General features: G+C 39.2%; 1 protein-coding gene across 12 annotated transcripts in view, besides 1 other annotated feature; it reads left to right on the top strand.

The window, feature by feature from the left end:
• Nucleotides 1-26,833, top strand: part of GLIS3 (GLIS family zinc finger 3) — a 666,339-nt gene that overhangs the window by 529,151 nt on the left and 110,355 nt on the right. For all 12 annotated transcript variants that reach the window (XM_047422890.1, XM_011517763.3, NM_001438912.1 and 9 more), the window contains one exon: nucleotides 24,126-24,287. In XM_047422890.1, coding sequence (XP_047278846.1) covers nucleotides 24,126-24,287 — 162 coding nt within the window. The remainder of the gene's footprint in view (nucleotides 1-24,125; nucleotides 24,288-26,833) is intronic.
• Nucleotides 6,331-6,851: an enhancer, noted in NCBI's record as "NANOG hESC enhancer chr9:3954464-3954984 (GRCh37/hg19 assembly coordinates)". NCBI's record gives its function as "activates a minimal SCP1, AML or CMV promoter by ChIP-STARR-seq in primed H9 embryonic stem cells {active_cell/tissue: H9 hESC(primed)}" and the evidence as "EXISTENCE:reporter gene assay evidence [ECO:0000049][PMID:30033119]".

Here is a 26,833-nt window from a genome sequence, read left to right as displayed (position 1 = left end):
TTAATAACACCAAAATGATTAGTACAAGGTTTTGTGACCTGTGTTACTTATGGGATACTGTTTCCACATCTTCTGGGGTCAGAAGACCATTCTAAGGCAACAGCAAGAGCACAGCGGGTTCTCATGAGCCATTTACTTTCTTATAATGCAAGGGCCTATTTAGGGTGATCCTTGTGCTGCTGTCAGAGCAATGAGGTTCAGCAGTTGTGGTGACAAATTAGTTTTGACAAGCTTAATGACCCCAAAGAAGAAAAGTCTGTGGCTCTGATAGCAACCGGGGAATAATTGGTGAGCTCAGCCAAATGGGGAATGTGTTAAAATTCCCCAATTCTTTATGGCAGGCCAATTACACCATTCAGCAAAGGGGTGGAAGGTTGCCATCCACTTCTTTAGCCTTACAAAAGCATCAGCAGGCTATATTTCAATCAATTGAATTTGGTTTGGCGAAACATCAGGACATTGAAAGAAACAACTGGATCTTTCAAACTATGTTCATATGAAAAACTTGGGCAAAGAGCAAAATTTTTGTAAGGCACCAGTGGGTAGTGCTGACCTCACTACTGGTGAATTCTGTTGATTCACCACGTGCTAGTTTTCTCTCATCTGCCCAGGGTTGGTAGGCCCTGTGACTAAGTGTAGGTTCATATGAGTACATGAAAAATAAATAATTACCAATTATCGGTCCACCAAAACACAATCTTTTCATTAATTTATTCAACATACTGTGGACCCACTATGTGCCAGGATCATCCTGAGTGTCAAAGAATGATGAACAAAGCAAGAGAAGACCCCTGCCTGCATGGAGACTGCATTCTAATGGATAGGTATAGTAAGAGACAAGTAATAAATAAACCAGACAATTCCAGATGGTGGCAAATGCTGTAGGAGAAATACATAGAAAATGTGGCAGATGAATTAGTTTGCTAGGGCTGCCATAACAAAGTACCACAAACTGGGTGCCTTAAGTAACAGAAATTTATTGTCTCACAGTTCTGGAGATTGGAAGTCAGCAGGGTGGGATCCTTCTGAGGGCTGTGAGAAGAGGATCTGCTCCCCAGGCTCTTCTCTCTTTAGCTTATAGATGGCCATCTTCATATTTACACAGTGTTCTCCCTGTAATTTCACGTCATCTTCCCTCTGTGTGTGTCTCTGTGTTCAAATTTCCTCTTTCTTTGTTTTAGATGGAGTCTTGCTCTGTTGCCCAGGCTAGAGTGCAGTGGCTCCATCTCGGCTCACTGCAACCTCCGCCTCCTCGGTTCAAGCAATTCTTCTGCAACTGAGATTACAGGTGCACACCACCATGCCTGGCTAATTTTTGTATTTTCAGTAGAGATGAGGTTTCACCATGTTGGCCAGGCTGGTCTTGAACTCCTGACCTCAGGTGGTCCGCCTGCCTCGGCCTCCCAAAGTGCTGGGATTACAGGCTTGAGCCAAGGCTCCCGGCCCAAATTTCCTCTTTCTATAAAGGGACCACACATATTGGATTAGGATCCACCCTAATGACCTCATTTTAATTTGGTTACCTCTGGAAAGACCCTGTCTCCAAATACAGTCACTATACTCTATTTGGGAGGGAGCGATAATAAAGTTGAGACTCTAGGGGAAGAAATGTTCCTGAGAAGAGTCAGAGGTGAAGTGTTGGGGCAGGGAATGGCATGTGAAAGGCCCTGAGGTGGGAAGGGCTTTATGCGTTTTAGGAAGAGTAGCTGCAGGGCTTGTGAGGATGAGGGAAGGGATTTTGTCACAGATGTGGCAGAGATTGGATCACATGGGCCTTGCTGGGCAACTGCAAAGAGGAATTTGGAGTTTCTTTTGGGTACTGTAGGAAGCCAGTGGAGCATTCTAGTCAGAGGAATTACATTTTCTGATTGTCATTTTAAAGCTGCCTTAGTCCTCTCAGGCTGCTATACCAAAAATATCACAGACTAGGGGGCTTATAAACAACAGAAATGTATTTCTTACAGTTTTGGAGGCTGGGAAATCGAATATCAAGGTGCCAGCAAATGCAGTGTCTGGTGAGAGCCTACTTCCTGGCTGATGGACAGCACCCACTCCGTGTGTCCTCACGTGGTGGAAGGAGCTAGCTAGCTTTCTGGAGTCTCTTTCTATATGGGCATTAATCCCATTCAAGAGGGCTCTGCCCATTAATCCTTGCAGAATGCCCTCGTGGCCTCCCAAAGGACCCACTTCCTGATACCATCACCTTAGAGGGTGGGGTTTCAACATAAGCATTTTGCAGGGATACAAACATTCAGACCACAGCAAAAGCCCATATTCATAGAGTGCCTACTGAAAACAAAGCAATATGGCAAGTAAAGCATAGAGCCCAAGGCTTTCCTATAGTCTTTACTGAAGATTAATCCAGACTTCTCACCTCATAGTTAACCAGCAAGAAGTTCTTGCTATTCTCTTATGGCTTCCTCCGACAGCACGTTGTCTGTTTTTCCACCTCTGGGCTTTAGCCAGTATTATTTCTGTTTCCCTAAGCAGCCACTCTGCACGTTGAACTCCTATTTATACTTTGACACCCACCTGTATAGTATCCCAGATTTACAGTCTCTGTCTTTACTTGTATCTTTTATTATATCTCATTCTATTGCATTTGTTTGTTTACATGGCCATCTGGCCAAATACTGGGCGAGTTTCCTGAGAGCGAGGACTCTATCCCAATCATCTTGGTGTGCTGAGATCCTACACAGCGTCCAGCCCAGAGTAGAAGCCCAACACGTGTTTATTAAATGAAGTATAAGACAGGACCCTGCACTTAAGAATGGAAGCCTTTTAAGACTGTTGGAATAGCAGAATAGAGTGGGGAGAATGCGGAGATTTGTAGGTACATCAGTCTGACTCCAACCCCAACTAGCATTACTTGTGGGCATTATTGCTTAACTTCTTTGAGTCTTACCTCTTTATTAGTAAAATAACTCTAATGATTCATGACTTTTTTTGAAAAAAGAATCGATGTAGGAAACTTTTATGTAAGCGTCTGGCCCATGGCATAGCACATGCATACTAGACGCTCAATAAAAATGGTGCATTTTTTTCTTCCTCTCATCTTCAAAAAGCCTTATTGTTATTATACATGTGGGAGGAAAAGCTCATGAAGATTCATGAAAACTCTGAATTGTGCAGTTGTTCACTAAGGGCTTGGTAGTTGTGTATGGCAGACATTTACCTCCAAAATACATTTCCAGGGAACTGAGAGAGTGGAAGGCAATGTTGAAACATTCTGGTGGAAAGTCAGTCATGGGTTAGGATTACCGAAGGAGCCACAGCTTTCCATTACCAGTTAGCTTTTCATAAAGAACTTTAGGAGTGTGACATTTTGCTGCCACGGAATTCCCTCACTGAAGATGTGATTCATTAACCATGATAATCTCTTTGTTTGGGGTCTTGGTTGCCAGTCCCACGAAGCTCCCTGATTTGCAACATGGGCATTTCAGGCAGAGCATTTTGCACAGCCTTGCAATATCTACGGTGTTTGTCTTTGTGTGAATCTGAGCAGATGATATAAATGCTTAATTTTTCAGACAAAAGGAAAAACATGAAAGAGCCCTTTCCTTTGTGCATCTGAGATGGACTGGGAATGACAATGAAAGAAACCTCACCAAGAAGTCTGTTGGTGCTAACATTTCTTTGTCTGTTTTCCAGAGTCATGCGATATGTATGTGCCTAATAACAAGGTTTTAAATGTGACTTCTATTTAAAATCACTGTTCTCTAGTGTTGCCTCTGGGCTGAGGATCTAATTTTCTATGTCAGTACTGCCCTGGTGGTATATCCTTAGGGCTGCTTGATAAGTCCCTTGGTTGACAAGTCTGCAATATGCAAATCCCATCTCGTGGTTCATCTTGCAACTCCCTGTAGTTTGAGTCTTTGTTCCTCCTGCACACGCAGGCTCAGTGCCTTCTCCTCACTGCCACATCAATAGCAACTTTTAAAATCTTCTTTTAAATGTGCCAATTATAAAGGTGAAAGCAAAGACATTAATCGGCTAGGCAGCCAAACTGGGGAAGTGTTATTCAATCCAAATACATTGATTACTGCATCAACAAGAACAGGTTTAATGCGTAGGCAGCGTAAAACACTCTCGGGAAAGGGCTCCACACCCACTGCTTGATGATTATTTTATCCTGCTTTTCCATTTGAGACCCCTAGGCCACACCTTCAAAGAAAGAACAGATATAGACTGTAGATAGGGAGCCACTTTGAGATTTTCTTCCCATTCCGCTGCACTGTGGGAGGCAGGTGGCTTAGAGGCCTAGTAAAGATTTTTCAGGTCTTAGTTCCAACTGCTGATGCCATGCTGCGAGTTCCAGGGCAAGTTCTCAAGGATGGAGCTCTTAGACGATTTGCCAGGGAAGATATGGGGGCTCAATCAGCTTGTGACTGTAAGTGTAGATTGTTCTTGTTATTGATGTGCCTGAGAGTTGAGGCAGAAGCCTGCCCTTTTTGGGGAGCTCTCATCATGTCAGTGAAGCTGCAAAAGAAAAAAGCCAGATAAAGATGAAACATCCAAAGTCATTACAGCCTGGTCAACTAAGATTGTTTCTGTAATGAAATTACTGTTTGAGGATTATTCAAAGTTGGCACATGGAAGGAGTTACTTCGGTAATGAAAGGAGGAAAAAAATACAACTGGTCTGTGAGATCAAAACAGGAAACAAAACAAAACAAAACAAAACAAAAAAACCCTCCATGCAACGTCTTTTGGTGTACTCTAAAGCTAGGGGTTAGATCCAGTGTGTTGAGTTACTTAAGAATGGGCTGAGAATCAGAGTGATGTCTCCAAGCCCTTTGGCTTCCTGGGAAAGGCCTTTATTTGATGGGCCAAAAATATTCTGCTTGAAGATTGGGTCTCCACAGAATTAGACAAAGGGCATCAAAGCCTGTTCCATGGTGATCTGAAGGCTTCTGTCCAGGACATTTCTGTTAATTTGGATACCATCTATAGTCTCAAACTCATGGCGGTTGGTTGTAACATTTTAATAGCCAGCCTGGGTTTTTGGCAGGCTTTTGTTCCCCTAGCTTATTTTTCTCTAAGCTTGAGACTTGAGAAACTGAAATTTGAGAGCATTGCTGTGTCTTGGAACTTAAAATATAAAAAGCTGTTGGAGGTGATTTTTTTTTTCTTTCAACTGGTACACTAAAGAATGGAAGTCAGCTTATAAATGACCATTAGGTAATGTAACCAGAAGAGTTTTTTTCATGGACAATGTAAGCAGGTAGTTTGACCACGGATGAAGAATTCTTTTCTTTTTTTCTTTCTTTTTTTTTTTTTTTTTTTTGCTGAATCTGGAGAAGGTCAATTGTGGTAGGAAATACTTATGGGAGCAGTCTATGGTATGGTCCTAGCCAATCACTTGTACGTATATACTACTTCATTCAGGTTCCCCATAGCTGTCATTAAAGGGAGACTTCTCATTGCTGATTATATTGACTCTTTCTTCTCCCAGATTTTTCCTCTTTATGGTCTCTTAGGCAAGTAAACTTATCATGAAAATTTCTGAAGAGCTTTGTGTATTATTCAGTCACTAGGTGAACAGTCTATCCTTAACTATAATTTATCGATTATTATTCTCTATGGCTTTTGAATCCCTAAATGCAGGGAGAGAAAATTAATCTGACATTTTGCTACTTTTCATGCTTAGTTCTTTACAACCCTATTTGGTAAGAATCTGTTCCAAGATCCTGGAAGCATCTTGGCTATTTCCTGTTCTTTAATCCAACGCCAACCATAACTACTGCTCATGACCCCTTTTTCATTGGTATGATGTTTTTAAGTTTGTAAAATACCATATATAATATCTCTTGTGGTGTCACAACAGCCTCTTGAAGCAGGCCATCCTCAGGGGCAGAAATTCCTTCTCAGGCACCATGACACCTCCATCCTGTCTGCCATGGAACTCAAGTTCAGGCATTTTTTATTTCTCTTTCTCTTTTTCAATAAATAAACAGATAGAAAAGATCTGAAGCTGAGTTGAGAAACTGTCTGACTTTTTTCTTTAAGCACAAATTGACCTTCAGCTTTCAATGTGAAACTTAACAGAGATAGGCAGAACACCACGTGTCTTCATGGGTGCAATGACTAAAGATAGGAAGGCCTGACTCATGCGGGCCATCTTCCCTGATTACTACCCTGGGAGGCCATGCATTTGCAACGTCTCTCTGATTTACGGCTCTGTTCCCCAGGTCGTCTTCATTTGGCACAGCCACTAACTCCAGCCTATGCTCTCTCTCCCCAGCCTGTCCCCTTGTCCCCTCTACGTCGTGAATTCCCTTGCTTTTGCAGAACTTCTGCGCACCAGGTGGGGCCTTTTGAGCTTTCGCATCTCTCTTTTATTTATTTATTTTTATCCACCGGCTTATTCCATGTGCACCATTGTCTGAATTGTCATGCATTTTGGATTTAATTCCAGATCGTCAAAGGCATGTTTTCAGCTGAACAAACCAAATGAAGTAAAAAGCTTCATCCTCTTTTACTTTATTCTCATTACCCATCCCAGCGGGGAGGATGAGTAAAGAATGCATCCTCTAGATCCTGAAAGAATTTCTAATATTCATTCTTTCTCCATAAGATACAGAGCTTAATCCTTCCTTTAGACATTTTCTTTTTTTCTAAATAAACAGGGCCTAATTGGAAAAAGCTGAGAGAGCTAAGCAGAAAAGAATAGAAAACATTTACTGAGCTTGGAAGTGCATATTGAATACTGTAGGAAATTTGCATATGGATTACTTGGTGAAAAAATAGAAACATTCTCAGCCCATTAGTTACTGTGATGGACTCCCACTGACTAAAATCCAAGTACTTTTGCCTTGTTTTCTCCAACTGTTCTTTTCTGTAATCATTTCTCTTTAACCACGGGGCAGCTATTCTGTTACTGCACTTTGTGCTAAGGAAAAGACAACACAGAGAATGTAGCTGTGCCTAGAATGTGAGCAGACTGGCTCTGATTTAATCCTCCAGTGAACATTGTACCATTATTTCTAAGCTTTGGCAGGAGGGTTGCCTCTTTATCGAGGAGCTTCTAGGTCACATTTGCAGCTCTACAGTTGTGTTAAGTGACAAACCATAGATTTCTCCCTGGTGCCTCAGTTTCTCCAAATGCAAAAAGAAAGGTAATTTTTAGCACCCTTAATAGAGATGGGAAAAATCAATGAATATTTATAAAAGTAAATTGAGACCCTGGAATATAAGATCCCACAGAAATTCAAAGCATAATTAAGGTAGGGAGAACAGATTAGTGTTAAATATATGTGTGAAACACATTTTACATTTCCTTCCAACAAAGGCTGAATTTAATTTACTCCAAGTGAGGGGGAGAAAAAAGGGAAAAAAACGTGGTATTGTGAATTAGGATTCTAAATTTGGATTTTGATATGTTGATTGGTGTACTACAGACATAAAGCCACATGTTTACTTTTTCAGCAAATGCATGTGTGTGCATGTGTTTGTGTGTGTGACTGTGTCTGTGTGTATGTGAGATGGAGAAGATATATATATATATATATATATATATAGAGAGAGAGAGAGAGAGAGAGAGAGAGAGAGAGAGCAAATCTAATTATCATTGGCAATATTCCTCCAGGAGAGCCAACAGCAAGTACTAACAAAAGAATTGTTATCAAAAATATGTTTTCAACAGCTTACTTTTAATCCATTGAAAAGTCATTAAACATGCATTACCAGCTCTTTGCATTGTGGTATGAGGCGAAACCATTTGTACAAAGAAATATTCAGATATTGCCTGCAGAAAACATCTATATTACTGTGTCATTGTTTGAAGAAACAACTCAAACCCTCACTTTACAAGGGAATCATTGAATATTAAGAGATGTGGAAGTCAGTGTAAAGATCAAAATATCAATATCCATCAGCCCATTTTAGTCTATCCACAGTGGCTTAGAAACTGTTGGAAGGAATGATCTGTACAATATTGATCACATAAATGGAAAGAAATCCTAAGAGATAAAGGGGACCTTCTGTATATTATAAATACTTAAGTGCTGCATATGTAACAATTTCTCAAAAAACCAACAAAACAAGACAAATATTCTCAAAAGATTCTATCATAAAAAGAATACCCTATGGAAAATCCAAGTTCATTTTTTTTCCCCTGCCTGATTCCCTTGATGCAAGTGAATCTTTCATTGGGGTACTAAAGATATGGCTAAATTTTCTAGTGAGAGGCAGAATTTATCAGACAATATATGTAGTGCAGATCCCTCAAATCCCAGAAAAAAACAAGAAGTGGTGACTTGACTCTTCACCAGCCCAAGAATACATCTTTATTAATATCTGAACCAGGAACTTACCTAGGTAGCAATCACAATATGATTTTTTTAAATTAAACATAAATAAGACTCGCATAAGGGAAAAGCTGGGCTGGGATTATCAGTTAGCTCCCCCAGGACCTTGCTAAACGAAGTGTGGCCTGAAGACCAGCTGCATCAGCATCGGTTGGGAGTTTTTTTTAGAAATGTAGCATCCAGACCCCATCCCAGATGTGCTAAATCAGAGTCTGCTTTATAAGGAGCTCCCAAGGAGATTAAAGTGCAAGAAGCACTGTGCTAGGATACCATTTGGTATATTCTTGTTTCAGATATTATGTGTTGTTTCCATACAAAAATTACCTGATAAATTCTCAGTTACTGAGAATTTGACATTTGGATAATCTGACCCATTATTATTCATCAATCCCAGAATTTGTAATTTTCACGCATGGAGCACCTGGCAAGTTCCAGGCACTGTGACAGGCTCTGGAAATAGATGAGCAAAATAGATGCAGAACCCAGGAGTGGGCTGTTAAGCAGATGGCTACTGAAATTTGTACTTAATGTCAGATAGGTAAAGAATTAGGAAGGAAAAATACAGTGTGCAAAGAAGGTGCAAATTGTGTGAGCCTGGCCGGGATCAGACATCAGAGAGTGCCAGGGATCCCCTGGGTGGTGGTGCCTCTGGGGGGGCTTCTGGTTCAAATCAGCCACAAGGAAGCGGAAGAGTAGAGAGGTGGATTACGATTTCCCAGTAGTAAGGTGACCAAGAAGTAAACCTGTGTCAGTGAACTAACCTTTTTCCCCCTAAACAAGTATTTTATTGGCCATATGATTTTATTTTTGAGATATCAAAAGCTTACATGGTTTGCTCAAATTAGAAAAATAATAAACACCAAAAGTCTAGGGAGTATGCAAACAGAAGCTGTAAATAGGCATTTTTTTTTCCAGATCTGCCTTGTGAATTGTCATTCTCCAAATTATCTTGGCCTGGGGGTACCTGTGGCTAGGCAGTTTCTGGTTTCCCCTCTCTCTCTCACCACGCTTGTCTAAAAGTTCAGTCATTGTGCCAGTGATCAGCCGGATCCCAGATCTGTCTTTACTGTGTCTTCAGCTAACCTCAAATCATCCAGAAAGGCCAGTGGGTGTGTGCGTGCGTGTGTGTGTGTGTGTGTGTGTGTGTGTGTGTGTGTGTGTGTGTTCATGCTTATTCCTCTCTTTCTCTCTCCTCTTTTCCCTGTTGAGGTTGCTTTTCCATCTCAGTCATTTCAAGTTTGAATTTGATTTGCATTTCTAAACTGCTAATTATACCAATTACTTGCAGTGCTTCTGCATTCTAAAAAGAAGTCTGAAACTGACCCCCTTTATTAAAATCAGTGTCCGTTCACCCTGAAGTTTAGAGCTAAGGAGGACCGGTCGGTCCCTTTTTTTATTTTTTATTTTTTCTTATAAATATATTTTTTAAAGGGCCAGCTGCCAGTGGTCTATTTTTCAGGTCTCAAATGCTCATGTTTCTGGTCATGTTTTTCTGTAGTCCAGCATACATTCTTTAACTAAATACTACTCTTGAAAGATCAAAAGGAGCACTCCCTGCTTTCATTTTGTTCTTGGCTGTAGCTCATGGATGCCTTGCTTTTTTTTTTTTCTTTCTTAATTTACAAAAAGCTTTCTTTTCTTCAGAAGAAAAAGAAGTGGCTCTGTGGATCATAAAGAGATCATTAGTGTTTACTAATACAGTATGTTCTTAAGTTGCTTTACTACCACGTCTTTTCAGTATTATTTACTGAGCAGCTGAAATAATTGGGCTTTGAATTTTTAGATTACTATAAAGCAAGACCTGTTGTCACTTATTGCTGGGTGTAATTGCACCATATGTATTTAGTGAAGCTATTTATTCATCTCCCTGGTGGATAACTTTGTCAAAATGAGTTGAGATATTTCTGTGTGTGCAGTTAGAATCTAGAAAACATGCATTTCATGTAGAACTTAGAAATTATAGAGGGCTTCACAAACATTTTTTTGGTCTCCAGACCTGAGGGTCTGTTCTGTAAGTTTGTCTCATCTTTTATTATTCCCCATTGTTAGAACAAATACTGTTCCTATGAATTTATGGTTATTCTGAGTGGATTTTAAGCCCTAGAAGCATAGTTTCAAAAAGAGAAAGAAAGCGAGGGAGGGAGGAGAAGAGAGGAAGAAAGCATTTTAATATGAATAACTTGCATTTTAATTTTTAACAAGTCACTTGTCCGTTATTCAACACATCTGCATTGGGTGCTTACTACACATGCTGCTGCATCATGAAAAGGGACAAGCCTGGTTCCTGTCCTAGCGGACTCACGTTCCATGAGGATGCTATAAGGGCATATATGTGAGAGACTAAACATAACCACTGGGACAGAGAATGCTTTTCTGAAAAAGAAATATTTCAACTAAGCTGTGAATAATGCATAGAATTTAACCAGGCAAATAAGAAGGAAACATTTTTCCAGGCAAAGGAAATAGCATGTGCAAATGCCCTGAGGTGGGAAGGGGCATGGTGCCCTTGAGAAACTGAGCTGAGGGAGCAAAGGGAAGGGGAGGAGAGGTGAAGATGAGGCTGGAGAAGTAGGCGGGAGCCACATCAAGCAAGATGTATGAGCCATGGCGAGGCTTTGGGCTTTATTTGAAAACCAGTGGGAAATCTTTGAAGAATTCTACACAGAAGAGGAACATTATTAGATTTCTAGTTTTCAAAAGTGACTCCAGCTGCAGTGTGACACTAGATGGTGGGTGAGGACAAGAGTGGATGGGGGAGACCTATTAGGAGATCACTGAAGTAGACCAGGTGGGAGGCCATAGTGGCTTAGCTTAGGGAAGGTCAGATATTGATGGAGAGAAGTATTTATGTTTGAGAGATAGTTGCAGACTTGGAGATTAGAGATGGATATGTGGGAGAGGGAAATGTCAAAAATGACTTGTAGGCTTTGGGGCTGCGCTGCTGGGTGAATAGAGAGCAGGCAGTGAAGGCTCTGGGGGAAAAGGTCATTGTTAAGTGTTGGAATATGTACTTTGAGATGCCTGTGAGCCCTCAGTGTAGAGATGTTGAATAGGCAGTAGGGCTTGGCATTCAGAGGAGAGGTCTAGGCCAAGTTTAACAACGGAACAATCCATAGCCATGTGTCTTCTGATATGACGCAGATTGGATTCTTATATCCACCAACGGAAAATAGCAAAATGAACTATTTTTCTCTTTCTCGAGGCATTTTGCCTCAAAGAGACTTGAAAGTGCTACAATAAATATTTAGGCAAATATTCCATTGATTTATTATTTTTCCAAAAAAGACAATTTGTTGAGCACCTAATATGTATTAGGCACCTGTTAGATTATGGGAACTTCGAAAACATCTTTCTTTTTCCCACCAGTAAAGTTACTTTGAAGAAAAGGTAAGCTAAGTACGCACCTAAGGAGGGCCAAGTTTTGTTACTGTTGGTAAATTTGTATTAATCCTCAGGATCCTATATTTGATAAAATGAAAAGGGATCTCGCTGTAAGATATTTCGTTGTTTGGCTGAATGTGCAATCTTGTAGGTTCTTCTAGAATTGTCATGTTGACTCTTTTATGCCAGGTATCACTTTGCATTTTTTTCTCAGCAGCCCAGGCTTCTGAGTGGCTCACAGATGCATACCGCATTTGTTTTTATTTGAGAAGTATAGTTAGTTAAAAAGGAAGATCATGCCAAGAACATAAGGCTCACAGTACTTTCTAGTCATTGCTAATGGTTTAACGCTGTGCTCAGATTTTGATGAGAATGATTAGTATAATTTAGGATAGTCAGTCTTTGTGAATTTAAATTATTAATATGTTTTACTTTGTAAGAGAAAAAAAGAAAGAGAGCAACTGGATTCCTTCTGAGACATGTTCTTTTTCTTATCTCCTTGACCTCTTGAAAAATAACATTCCTTTGGAATTACACGGAGGGAATACTTGGTTAAATAACTGAGCCAAAAGGCCATGATCCTAGTTGAGGCTCTTCACTTACTAGTTGTGTGTGACTTTGGCAAGTCACTTAACCTCTCTATGTCTCAATTTCCTTTACTTGTAAAATGAGAACCATAATATTAGATAATTTGAATACATGTGGATGGATGTTGATGATAATGGGTAACATTTATTGAGAATTTACTATGTGCTAGATACTTTCCAGCCAAAATTGTTGGCTCTGTAAGATGACAAAGAGATAAAATAAAGGAAGAAACATATCATGGAAACAACTCATTTTGCTCATTCTTTTACTTTTTATGGAAATAATAAACAACAGTAGTTTAAATTCAATGCAAAGGCCAACTACTCTAAATAATTAGACCCATATTCTCATCAAATTTAAACTAAGATGATGAAATAGTTTCATCTACCCTAGACTTTATACTTTTAGGCAGAATTTTTCATAGACTTATTATTCCTGGGATCACTTGAGTCAGGTTCCAGAGAGAGGGGGTGGAAGGTGTATTAAGTAGAACAGTCAGGGGGATTGAGGTTACAATTCTGAGCCAAGGTATTTTTCATAAGAATTATAGGGATCAAAGTACACTGCAGGCATGACAGTGATTGAATAACTATGAGTGTGGGTCTTAAGACCCAAAAGGTCATCGATGGAAAGAGTTAATGGATTTAATGACAGTTTCTTAGCCATGAGTGAACATATAGGAAGAAGGGGTAAAATGTGAGAGAGATTTCCTCATCAGCCAAAAGAGACATTCAGAAATGGGATAGAGTAGTTTAAAATCAGCACAAGAAAGGAGAAGAGCAAGCGGAAAGAATGAAGGGTTTTCTGAGTCCCTGCTGTGTGCCAGCTAGGCTTGTGATGGGAAAGCTATGCAGAAAAGTTCCACCTTGAAAGAAAAGAAACTGGAGATGATGCATTTTAGAAGCAAGTGAATGGTTTTGATGAACCAGTGTGGGTTGTCACAAAAGATTGTCAATCCTAGGACGATGGAGCTGCAGTGAAGGCATCACTCTGAGATCACCCCTTTGTAATGGCCGCCAGGGCTAATGCAAGGTTTTGAGTTCCATTATTTTCATATCTCTTTCTTTTTTAGGCAGCCAGTCACAGATGATTTTTAACAAGAAGTACAGGATTTATATTTAAGAAGTGCATAATGGAAATCGATGGCTTTTTGTTGAGAAAAGCACAGTGTCAGGAAAATATCTCTGCCACTCTCTTTCCCCCTGTCTTGTCGCAGTGGTGGAAATTTTACATTTGAAAGTGAAAAGGCTTAAGATATAATTTTTTAATCCCATCTTTCCTGCCCACTTGCATCTCTTCCAAAGCTTGTCAGGGCCAGATCTGGAATAGCAAGAGCCATTAAAAATTTGGCATCTTGCACTCCGTTTTTTGGAATAAACTCAGTGTGGGCCAATTTATGGTAAATTATTCTCTTCGTGTGTGAATTTCCTTTTCTCTCTTGGCAAATTCATGCTTGCTTCTACACCCCTGCACACAGATCTTAAACACACACATTTATTACAGAATCTGTGTGGGATATGTGTGCAAGTGTTAAAGTGTGTGCCCATGGCTGTACCCACAAATGCATATGCACATATTTGCACCTATGTGCCTATATGATAAGCAAATTGACTTAAACAGTTTGTCTTGGAGGTTTGTGTTGCTGTATGTATGTTAGCATACATTCTGTTGCAACCCGCAAACAGTTTCTCAGTCAAGAGATGACAGAATTCAGCAATCGTTTTGGGAAACACCATAGTAAATAAATATATTGCTTAGTTCTGTTAAACCAAGCAAGCCAATTCTTAATAAAACTGAAGGCAAGAAGTGGCAATTCTCATCTTTGCAGTCAAAGACAATTAATTACTGGGCAGCCAAGTCCATTGCCAACAGGGAAGACAGAGCCAAGGCTTTGCTTCAGCCCATGTGCGTTGAACACAGACCCTGTAGCCAAGCATAGTTATAACCTGGGACACTGGATTGGAGTCCCTGCCTCCCATTCTGAGAGGTTGGCTGTAGGATGGCCGACAGAGGCGTGGCGTCGTGAGGGGTTGGCTGTAGGATGGCCGACAGAGGCGTGGCGTCGTGGGAAACTGCTTGACCTGCTGTTTGGTGACACTCGACTCAGGGCAACTCAGGGCAAGGTCGAAAAGATCATTTTTCTTTGCATGAGAAACTCTGATGAGAGGCTCTTCCCTGGCATATTTGACAGCATATTAGCTCAGCTTTTAAAGGGCAATTTAAAACAGTTTCTTTTCCTTTATGTATGAGAAGGCACACATTTATGTGCCTTGAATTATTGCTACTAACACGTTCCCAATAGATCTGTGTATCTAGCTCAGATTTGGAAAAGGGAGTGGTAGGAAAACAGCTCACTTACTTCACAAGTTGTTGCTACAAATTTCTCAGAATATCAATAAAGAAGTAAATGCATCACATTCACAAAAATACAACCATATGTTGTTATTAGTATTTTTCCTACATGGTTAAATATTCAAATATTTAAAGATACATTTTACAGTAGTTCTATAGGACATGAAAATTCAGCATCTAAAACCTGTAAATGCATTTTATAAAAGCTTTTGCAGTGTTGACCATTTGATGTCATCATGAGCAGTAACCAACCCTACCTAATTAAAAAGCCTTAATGAGCTTACTACACAAGGAAGTCTAGGCAATCAATATGCATTCTTACAAGGAGTTCATTTTCTCCATTTTCCTTAGCATTTATTTAGCAAATAATCTACAATCACTTGCCAAGTATATGCCAAGCACTGTACCTAGAGCTGGCAACAAAAGTATTAATAAGACTCAGTACCTTGTTCTTATAAAGCTCACAGCCTAGTAGGGAAACAAACAATCCAATTACTATATTTCCAAGTGTTAGCAAGGCAGTAGGCAAAGCATGGTGGGCATGTGTGGGCACTGATCTGTTGTGCCTTGGCAGAAGCCTAAAGGAAGGCTTCCAAGAGGAGATGGCACCAAGCTAAAGGGTCAGTAGGATGTTACCAGGCACAGGAAGTAGTATATGCAAAGGTGAGAGGCAAAAAGCAACGTGCTGCTTAATTAGGGAATGCAGCTTGGCTGGCCTGGAGCCCAGGTGGGAAATGTGGGGGAACAGGTAAGAGGGGAGAGGCCTGATCCCATATGTGCTAAGACATAGGTCTCATACTTTCTTCCTCCCCCTTCCCTTCTTTGACCTGTAGTGTCTCTTTCTCTCTGTTTTTTTTGTTTTTCTACTTTTTATTTTGTTTTGCTTAATTAGTTGCCTTTTACTTCATCTTTCCCTATCTGACTTCTGAAAGTTGAAAATATATTTCCGAGGCAGATCATTTGGAGAAACTAAAGTCATAGAGAATGTTTCTGACTTTTTTATTTTAATACAAAAATATTGCCTAAAATCGAAAGAATGAATTCTTGGTTTCCTCACCTCCCCAGTAGCCATCTCATTTTTATATATAGAAAATAATATGGAGGTATTGGAGCAAGCAGGGTCAGATTCCAAATTTATTCTGCATGTATGTCTATCTCCTGGAACACATTATGAATGCAGGAAAGGTAAGATGAAAACCAAAGTTACTTTTGCATCATCTGCAGAGCCTAATGAAGTACTCATTGTGCAAGAAACTCAATATGTTCATGGTCCATTCATGGAGGAGGGAATTGGTCGCTTGGTATACTGCTTGTACTTAAGAGTCTGAAATAATTCTTTTCTTTAATATAGAGTAGTAAAACATCTGAGCACTGCTTTTATTTGTACGCTTTATATTTCATAGAAGTATTATGCTCATATATTATAGATACATGTATATGGATTATAGTTGGCTATGTGGTAATCAGAAACACAGGTACACAGAAAATCAAATACTTTGGTTGCTTTTAGCTTTTGCTATGGTTCGAGTATGATGCTTGGAGTTTATATGTTGAAAGTTTGGTCCCCCCATGTGTCAGTGCTGAGAGGTGGGGCCTTAAAAAGTGGTTAGATTTTTAAGAGGCATTAATGCTGCTCCTATGGGCCTGGGCTAATTGTCACAGGAGTGAGCGAGTTCTCACCCTAGTGGGACTGCATCAGTTGTCTCCAAAGCAGGCTGTTGTAAAGTGAGGCCACCTCTTGTGTTCTGCCCCCTTTTCTCACATGCCAACTTCCCTTTTGGCTTCTCTGCCATGATACGACACAGTATGAAAGCCCTCAGCAAATGCTGCTGCCATGCCCTTGAACTTCTCAGTCTTCTGAACTGTGAGTTAAATAAACGTCTATTTTTTATAAATTACCCAGTCTGTGGTATTCAGTTCTACCAACAGAAAATGGACTGAGACAGGTATGTTTATGCAGACCTAATTACATAGCCATAAAACATATTTGCTCTACTGGCGTGTTATCAAATGCATTTTTTGCTGTCTGTCAACCCCTGAAGTATACATGCTCTTATGGATATGTATTCACAGATTGCATGAAATCAGTGCTAATAAACAACAGCAGCAACAAAAACTTACTGTTGTGTTTACACAACCTCCAGGCAACCAGTTTTCATTATTTACCCACTCACAGAAATAATTATTCACTTGCAATTGTAGTCTTCTGGCATTGTATTGGTATAACATGAATAATATATGATACCTTGTATGTATAGAATAGCTAGAGAAGGGCCATGTGATATGTCTTAAATATCAATGTTGCACTGTGAATGTTCTTTTCCCAGTTATGATATAATGCCCATGATGAGGTTCCATTTGTCCCCAGAACCTTTCGATTGTTACAAACCAGACACTTGATAATTTCCATAAAAATTTAATATGGTTCAAATGTTGCCACAGAAATAACATATTTCTCTCTACATTGTCTTGTGGCTTCTTGAAAAATTTTTTTCATTTTCATTTTTTAAGCCGAACTCTCATGAAATTTGCTACCTCATTTCAAGGACCTTTTTAAGAATCAGCTGCTTCCTCATGACCCAAATGTTAAAAAGCAACATATTCCTTTAAACCAATAAGAAACGTGTATGTACTGTCCATTTCAGTAACCCTTGTTTTATACAGATTTCTTCATCAAAAATAAGCAGCGCAACAAGCCAGGAAGTTGTATTTATGAGCTAGTTAATAGGCCGATTTTGTACACCAGAATAATAAGGAAAAACACAGTAACTTGAATCTCTTTATTATAGTTTAGGAAAACATGACAGAAAGAGTCTGATATTAATTCTACAAAAATTTTAGTAGTTCCAGATAATCTGGATAAATGAGGACTGTAGGCCACTTCAGAATGCCAGATGACCGGCACGCACTCAGTGAGTGATTGACTCATTGAGACCAAAGTGTCATAGCCTTTTCTCCCCTCCTACTGCCCCAGCTAAACCCAGGGTCGGGGAAACTTTGAAGATTGTTGTAGGAAATGCAAGTGCAAATCTATTTAGATACTTGGAACCTTTGGAAACTCAGTTTGGGTTACACTGATTTCCCTGAAGTTAAGAGGACTCTCAAATTAACCAGGGACAACCCTAAATAATTTTCCAATGAGGCTGTTATTACTCTGGGTAGAACCTTTGAAATGTTATAAAATCAGATATTACCTTTTAGCAAACCAAAAGGAAACACAGTAACTCCTGAGTTCAGTGCCCTGTTAAGGACAAGCGGGTGATTTGACTGCAACATGAGTAAAATTGCAAAGCAAGAATATATAGAGACATGTTCTCTGTTCCCATTGTGGAGTTATTAGTCCCAACAAAACAAGGAGCAGAAGGAATTCCCTATTACTCCACATAATCGATTCATGAACTACTTTTTAAAAGCCTCAAAACATTTGAATGATTTTCTTTTTCTCCCTTATGTAGCACTTTCTACAAACTGATGTAAATGTTAAGATTTGCTAGAGCATGTAAATGCATCCAGTCTAAGAATGCACTGGAAACAGAAACCAGAGTGGCATGAGGTGACCCGTATGTCCAAATGCGAAGTCCATCGAAGGAGAAGCAAAATCAGATGACCCCAGTGTGCTTCTACAGTCTTTCTTGTGATTCTTGGTCCTTTTTTTCTGACCTTTCTTCTACTTTTTTTTTTTCCTATTATCTTCCCACCTAAATTTTAAAATTAGATTTAACTGTTTCACCACCTAAGGTGTGAGACTACCACAGTTTAGTTCTTTCCTTTCTTCTTTTGTTTTCTAGTTCTTTTGTTTATTTTATTTCGTCTTTTTAAAATCCCACCAAACTGTATCTTTTCAAGATTAAGGTGACCTAATGATCCCTAGAATGTTGCTGCTCAAAGTATAAGCTCCAAACATTCACCATTTAGAAGTGTCGCCTGGGAGATTGTTAGAAATGCAGGATCTCAGGTCCCACCCAGCCCTGCTGAGGCAGAGTCTGTGTTTTAACGAGTCTCCTAGGTGAAGCTGGGAAGCCTGCTCTAGAAAGAAGCTTCCAGAACTAAATCCCAGCTGAATTCATGCATCAAATTTCTCACCTCTCCTCAAGTGTGTAAGGTGGCCCTTTGACCATCCTTTTCTGAGTCACAGAAGTAATCTTTCACTTACAGCTTTTGAAGGTACGTGCTTGATTCAAGTGGACTTGAACTCTTGGACTTATTGTGGAAGTCACTTTGACAGTATCTGCAGGATTAGAAGTATTTGCTGATCCTCCCGCCCATGCCTTTCTTCTCTTTGGGTTGTATGTGGAGATGGGAACTGGCATATACTTCGTCAGTCAGTTCTTGCTGCATGTCTTAACATCAGCCATCACTAATGGGATTAATTGGTCTTAATTGATGGAATTGTGAAAGTGTGTACCTCCCAGGGTCACAAACACTAAGCCTTAATTCAAATCAAATGTATATTTTAAAAAGCATGTCTGGCATCATAGACTCCTTTCTGTTTGGGTTTAGTTGACATCAGCAATGGTATGGAAACCCGATCAGGAAAGGTTTGCTGTTACTACTGCTTTGAATATGAACTTATGCTTCTCAGCACTCTAAGTAACTAATTAGGGGAGGGAGTAATATTCTACTTAATTATTGGTTACACATATAGAATAAATCCTATTTTAATGGTGTCTAATGAGCCTTTCATTTTTAGAACCTTACACAAAGCCTCTAATGGAAAGGGAAAGTAACATTTCAAAGGTCATCTTAATGCCACTTAATGTCAACAATCGTAATCAAGTCAATATATGTAGATGGTGATTACAGTCCAGTTATGATTATTTAAATATAAAATAATCTAAATTAGCAAAGTGGAACAAGCTAAGATTCTTTAGGTTTGCAATAACTTAAACTTTCTAATTAAAGTTTGTTACTTGAAAACAACCTCAGAGTTAAAGAACTCTCTCTCAAAGTGAGGCTTCATGCAGTGCAGTATTTTCAAGACCCATGAGTGTAAGTTCTATCACTTACAGTTTCATGCCCTTTTCCCATATGTGTCCGCAAAGCCACTGAAATGTGCAAACAGAAAATGATGGCTCCCCTTCTGTGCTTTTTCTCAACAGGGGAATGTAATGGGCAGTAGAAGTATGGGATGTTTTATGGGTCAGGAGGCCACCGAGGGAACTTGTGGGCACACCTGTTTCAGAACCAGACATCTGCCTGGTGGCAGATTAAAGTGCAGCGCACCAGCATGGCACATGTATACATATGTAACTAACCTGCACAATGTGCACATGTACCCTAAAACTTAAAGTATAATTTTAAAAAAAATAAAATAAATAAATAAATAAATAAAATAAAAAGTTGGGAATTTAAAGAGTCTCCAGTAAGAGATGGAGAGTCTGAGATTTTGTCCTTTTTGCCCTGCTGTGGAATGGAGATGCCTCTTCCATCCTAGGATGGTTGCTAGTCCATGTGACCCTTGTCTGAATTAGAAATGGGTAGATTCTGCAAAATGCTTTACTTTTGTCACAAGATTTTCATCAATAAATGGACAGTGATCACAGTATGAATGGCATTCCCTAACTCACCTGCTCACACTGTAGTAGTGTTCATCAGAATATCAGAATCTTATGGGGGGCTTGTTAGCAGTCAGATGGCTGGGCCTCACTCCCAGCATTCTGATTCTGGGGTCAGAGAATGTGTATATCTGACAAGTTCCCAGGCGATGCCAGCGTTGCTCGTCTAGGGACCCCATCTTTGAGAACCACTCCTCAGGGGTGCGTCAGTATGTAACCTGCCCAGCCGTACACGTTGACCTTGCTTTCATGCACACAGAGCTTACTCAGTATTTTTTGGGAAAAAATAATGCTATGTAGATACAATTACTAACATAGGGGAAATTTTCTAGCAAGGAGCTTGGTATGGAATAAATGCTCATTGCACACCACGCCCCTTTTCCTCCATCGCTGCTCCCCACACTGTCACCCTGCGTTTGTCTCCCTTGTGTTCTATTCAGCCACCTTCTGTTTCCTCCTTGGATTCCGAGAGTTTGTTTGTTGGTTCACGTTTCTCTTGTTTTCCTGTATGTAGTCTGTTTTTGAACCTCGGGCAAACTCTGGCCTCATCATTCAGTCATGTGTCACTGAGTCCTGGGCTCATGGTTCCTACAGCTAGCCCAGGAAGCAGAAGACCTGAACATAGGATATTGTTCAATTTGGGTAGGAGTTGTCCAGTGGCAGTGACACAAGCATTAGTTGACAGTTTTGACCTTAGATCTCAGGATGGACTTGAACTTTAGGAACCTCGATGAGAAAGCATCTGGCCAAACCCAAGGAAACACTCTTAATGTTCCTTGCTTCCCTAAGCTTAGATGTCAGTTTACAAAGTGAGACATGCTTGCTCATTAAAGAATTGGAAAACGTGAAAAAAAATAAGAAGGATAAAAGGCATCCATTTGCCCCAAAAGTCAAAGAATCCAATTTTGGTATATTTTGTAACAATCTTTTATAAGCCTACCTAAATGTTGTTTTATTTGTAATGCATTTGCATTTAATTGAACTTATAAATCTAGCGGTAAAACTGCCTGAGGGAGGGGAAATTCTTGTGATGAATTACAGGGTTATTCCCATAATATATGATAATGATTCATGATAAAATTATTTGCTTTCAAGTTTCATCCAGACGCCATTAGAGAAATGAACAGCACCTCCTTTCTCTTTCGGCAGAATTGTCAATGTGACAAGTTCATTCAGGTGTAGTGCCCTGCACACTCCTGTGATGAGTTGGATATTTGGCACCTCACCAAGGCATTTATCAATCCTTTAGTGCCTGATTTTACTGGTCTTGGGTTCCATGGTTCCTGCAAGTGAATTCTTCAACAAGAGTGAGTTGGGGGTGTATGTTATGAGCCCCTGACTACATGAAACTGCCTTTCTTCTTCTGCCTTTATTCATACAACATAATGAGGTCAAACCCTTCATTCATAATCTTTTCCCCGAGAATACTGTAATGCTGTTCTATTGTCTTCTGCCCTTTCTTGTTACAGAGGAAACATCTGATATCAGCTGGATTTTGATTATTTTACGGATAATCTTTTTGTTGTCATTTTCAGTCTAGGTGCCTATATTTTCCTCTATCCTTGCTATTTGAAAATGGTCAGGATGTTCTGAGATATTGTTCATTTTGCACTGATTTGCTTGGAATGCAATAAGCCCTTTGGTCTTTGATTGTTGCTTCTGTTAAGAGTAATAATAGCAATTAGTTGGGTTTTAGCTGAATATTCAAGTGGACATTTAACTGGAAAGACTTGGAAATGGTATTCTTACATATAGTTTATGTCTTATCAAGTGAACAGTTTGAATTAATCAGAGACATGTCTTGGATCCTTCTAATCCCTCTATGGTAGAACTAGGGATGTTGTTTTATCCTGTACTCACAGAAACCTCATTAATCTTATTCTAAAGTAGTTCTCCGCTCTCATCCTGGTGCTGAAACAATGCAGCTTTCTCTCAGATCAAGATCTGAGGTGACTGTGGAACAGAGTGGATATGGGGCCTGCTCAGGTTTGGGTATGTGCCCCGGGAGCTGGCCCCAAAATGGAATCCACCCTACAAAAGAGCCTTGCTAAGAACCAGGCTACAGTCTTGGCGTGTCTAAAACCACAAGCTCACTTCAGACCTAAGTGTGGTCCACCAGGTGATTCCAAGTCAAATAAACTGAGCTCCAAGAGTTTTCTCTGAGTCGTCATTCAAAGAGAACCCTAAAAACAGAGGTTTGGTCAGCAGAGGCCTCTTAGCAATGAGTTGGGGTTTAATGTTGAGCCCCTTTATTCTTAAATTTGAGAGTCACTTGAAAAGCTGCAGAAATGAGCCCCTTAACTCCTCTCTCCCTCTAGTGACGTTTCCTTTCACTCTGCTGAAAAAGTAGTTGGCTTCGTCAGCATTCATCTTCTGCTCAGGCTAAATTTATTTTTATGTGAAATAGAAATCAGGAAAACACCAAAATTATTTTAAGCAAAATATCAAAATTGAAATAAACCAACATATGTCTGTGAAACATGTATAACTCTCAATCAAAAATAAGTGCAACTTTCATAAATTTCTTAAAATACTCCAGCATGCAAAATCTGGACAACTTAAATAGATGGAGTGATGACATGTTTAATTATTTTTTTTTACTTAGTTCGTCCCTTATTTAAAGATGAAAATTCCAATAACCAAAACCTGGCCAGCTCTAGATCATTCTGTTGTGAACAATGTCCTCTACCATCTATTATAGTAAGTAAGAGAACCAAAGAGTTTTATACAATTTCTTGCAGCAAGGTTAAGTTATACCTGCTAATTTTGAATGGGAACCATCTGGAACTTACCTTCCTTCCTTACCCACCCTCACCCCCCTGCATTCCTCTATAAGAAGTGAGGCTTCTTAATTGCTTTAAATGTATTATGCTTTTTTTCCAGTAGGTGTTCCGTATTTCTCAGTTTCCCTTCCAGTGAGAACTCAAATGGGATTAAAACTGTCTAAGTAACATAACTATTCTGGGGGTTAGCACCAAAGAGAGAGTTAAAAGATAAATCCCCATCTCACCTTTATGCTTCATTTCTAGGCTTTCTCTAACACATTTTCTTTATTAGATTGTTACTTCAAGGATTGGAATCACTTTGACCCTATTAATAGTAGCTGATATTTTGCCCTCAGAAGACATTGAGTAAATGTTACTGTCAATAAATATTATTGACAAACCAGTGACACATTTATTGAAATCTTAAGCCTTTTATCTTCTTTTCCTCATGAATTAGATAATGAAATGTCTAAAAAGTAAAAAAAGATTAAAGTATTACGGTACTTTTTTGGAAAATGATTTCACACTAAATGAATTGTCTTTTAGCTTCCTTTGTAAGAGCCTGTTAAAAACTTTATCTCATTAGCCTTGGCATTACCATATACATTAACATGGTCACTCTTTTGAGGGTTGGAAAAAACTTACAAATATAGTTAAGGAAATTTATGATCATATTGATCTAGTGGACACATGTCTTTTTCATCCTGGACTCTCAAATCTTCAATTCTCCTTTTTCTCATATATCACTCTGACTTTTTTTTTCTTATTAGTTTATTAGTTGTCAGAAAGTTTCTTCCTTTCCAGTTCCTTCAATTTAGACCAATTTGGAAATGGAAAAGTGTGTTAATTTTTAATAAATCTTTAAGACACACATTACTGTATTTTTATTAACAGAGCCAGATGGCTCACGGTGAATTTTCTCTGACATAAGTAAATCACAGAAATCAGTTTGGGACCCAAATCTGATACAGAAAGTGGCATGTATATTCAGTGGAAAAATGCAGTTCACATAAATATTCGGATATTTTTAGGAGCAATATTTATTACTGTTTGGATTTGATTTTATTTTATCATTTTCGGCAAAGTACCAACTAAGAACATTTTTTTTTTAGCTGTCCCCCAGACTCAAACATTCAAGGTCCTTCTCAACCACCAAAAATTGTTTTCTTTTTGCAGTTTGAAGGTTGCGAGAAGGCCTTTTCAAGGCTTGAAAATCTCAAGATCCACTTGCGGAGCCACACAGGCGAGAAGCCGTATTTGTGCCAGCATCCGGGTTGTCAGAAGGCCTTCAGTAACTCCAGTGACCGCGCCAAACACCAGCGGACGCATCTGGACACCGTAAGAATGGCAGGAGCTTTCCAGTTTCCAACCCAGCGCCTGGTGTGAGGAAGTGCCTGCTTGATAGTGGGCTGGTGAAGTGTTTGCTTTATGGTCTGCAGGTTACAGGGACAATGCCAAGGGCAGCAGTGGAGCCTGGTAAAAGGCCAGATGGGGCCCTATTTATTTGGCTGTTTCATTTTTCTGTAGCAGCAGTTTATTCTAAATATTACAACCTCCTGGGACAGAAGGGTTACTTGGTCACCGCTGTGTACAAAGCAAAAGCAGTTTAGGGGCTGTCATGTAGTAGATTTTAGTACAGAGAGTGATCAGGAGAGACTGGCATTAAAAACAGTATTGAGATATCAAGTCGGTACTGTGTGCTATTGCTAGGAATATGAAGCAGTTTTTGTTTGTTTTTCTTTGTTTTTTTTTTCTACCCTGGTTCTTTCCCTCTTGACATAGAACTTTGCAGCTAGAATGATTTTCAAGAGTGAATTTGGCCCTTTGCTTTAGAAACCACCTGGTATTTTCACCTTCAGCTGATCTAAGAAGAAACAGTAAATCTTTCCCAAGAGTTCACTTTCCTCATGCTTCCTATCTGTTAGCAGCCACATATTCTTTGACATCAACCCTATGAGAACAATTGATTTTCATTATTACACCCTTAAGTCCCTTAATGCTACAACATTTTGCTCATTCCCAAATGCCTTTTCTATGATTCTTGTCTTTTATTTTCTCAATTATGTTGATAGCCCTCCTTTGCATTTCCCAGGTTTTGATGCCATTTTCGTTACACTAGGCCAGGTAGACTCTATGTAATTTCACTGCGCTTAACAAAGCCATCAGGATAAGTGTATTATACACATCACAGATCTCTTATCCCACATTCTTGCAAATAATGTATTCATGACAGTACTTTTTCGGTGTTAACATTCTGATGTCTATTATTAAACTACACCAGAGTTTGAATTTTGAAAAGATACTGTTATTTCTACACACCTTCTCATACATATTTAAGATTCTTCTGATGTTATAGTTGACATATTTATTAAATTTTATATTAGTCTCTATTAGTCATATTCATAGAAGTCATTTTAGCTATATGTCACATAACCTTTCTAAACAGAATTATCCCCTAATATGCATAAATGCGATGGTTTGCCTAGTAAATATCTCAAATATAATTAGAGCAACATGGGTGTAGGATGGACCCAGTTTCTACTCTACCTGAATTCAGTGATTTTAGGACCAATAAAATGGAACACTAAATGAATACATGTGGTGAATAGTGGGATTTTTCTAAGTAGAAAAAGAAAAAAAAAGAATAAATTGTGTTAAAATGCCCTATTTTGTTGTGCCTAAAATGGTCTTGGTGAGATCCAATAAACTTTCCAATTCGTCATTAACCTTTATCATGGAAGAATGAACATTTATGAGACAAGATTGTCTTGAGAAATTGCTTCTACTCCAGCTAGTTATCTGTAGGTTGCAAGAACTGTTGCGAGGCTAAGTGTTATGGTTTCGCACTGCCCTCCTTTGCTTGGAGCTAATTTTAGCTAATCAAGCTAAGAGCATTTTCAGAAATCATTTTGGAATAAAAATATATATCTTTTTAAAAAACTTTTGAGGAAGGCTACCTAATATAGTGGTTTCCTGATTTTTGTTAATGCAATCGCTTTTAAAACTCAGCTATTTTTTTTGGAAAAATTATTTCTCTATTAAATATTTTTAAAGCATCATTTTTTCCTTTAAGCTCCAAACTAGCTCCTGTTTAAATTTTTTACTGCATTTAACAAATTAGTAAGCTCTTTTAAAATCATATAGAAATCACACACTTGATTTTAAAAACAAACTATACTTGCTTGAAGAATTTGTTATTTAAATTTAGGTCCTTGTTCCCTTTCATTAATCACTCCTTATACTATAATACTGTCAGAATTTTGGATAAAGTATCTTTCTTCAACTAAGTGGATTCCTTATTTGTAGAAAAATGGTTTTCCCATAAACATTACTGAGTTCCTAATTCTAACCCTTAAAAGTTGTATTAATTAATCTCTCTATTAGCATCTTAATATCTACACAGTAATTGTACAGTACAGGTGGAAAATAACAAAATATATAGTTGGATGAAGTGTAGCATGCTAGTTAAAGCTTAGGTAACCTGAGATAAAATGACAGTTGCAGCAGTACTACTTAGATCAGTCCCTGACATTACTTTTTTGGCATACCAGTCCTTCCCTAGTGGCTGACAACAAGAGAAGAAAGTGAAGGTCAGCTGAGAGGAACAGTGGGTGTGTAGTCAAACTTTCTCCAAGAACATCTCAAAATCAAACAGAAGGCTGGGCACGGTGGCTCACGCCTATAATCCCAGCACTTTGGGAAGCCAAGGTGGGTGGATCACCTGAGATCAGGAGTTCGAGACCAGCCTGGCCAACATGGCGAAACGCCATCTCTACTAAAAATACAAAATCAGCTGGGTGTGGTGGCACATGCCTGTAATTCCAGCTACCCGGGAGGCTGAGGCAGGAGAATCGCTTAAACTCGGGAGGCGGAGGTTGCAGTGA

Source organism: Homo sapiens, chromosome 9 (assembly GCF_000001405.40).
Source record: "Homo sapiens chromosome 9, GRCh38.p14 Primary Assembly".
Classification (NCBI taxonomy): domain Eukaryota; kingdom Metazoa; phylum Chordata; class Mammalia; order Primates; family Hominidae; genus Homo; species Homo sapiens.
This window is presented reverse-complemented; position numbering and strand designations above follow the sequence as displayed.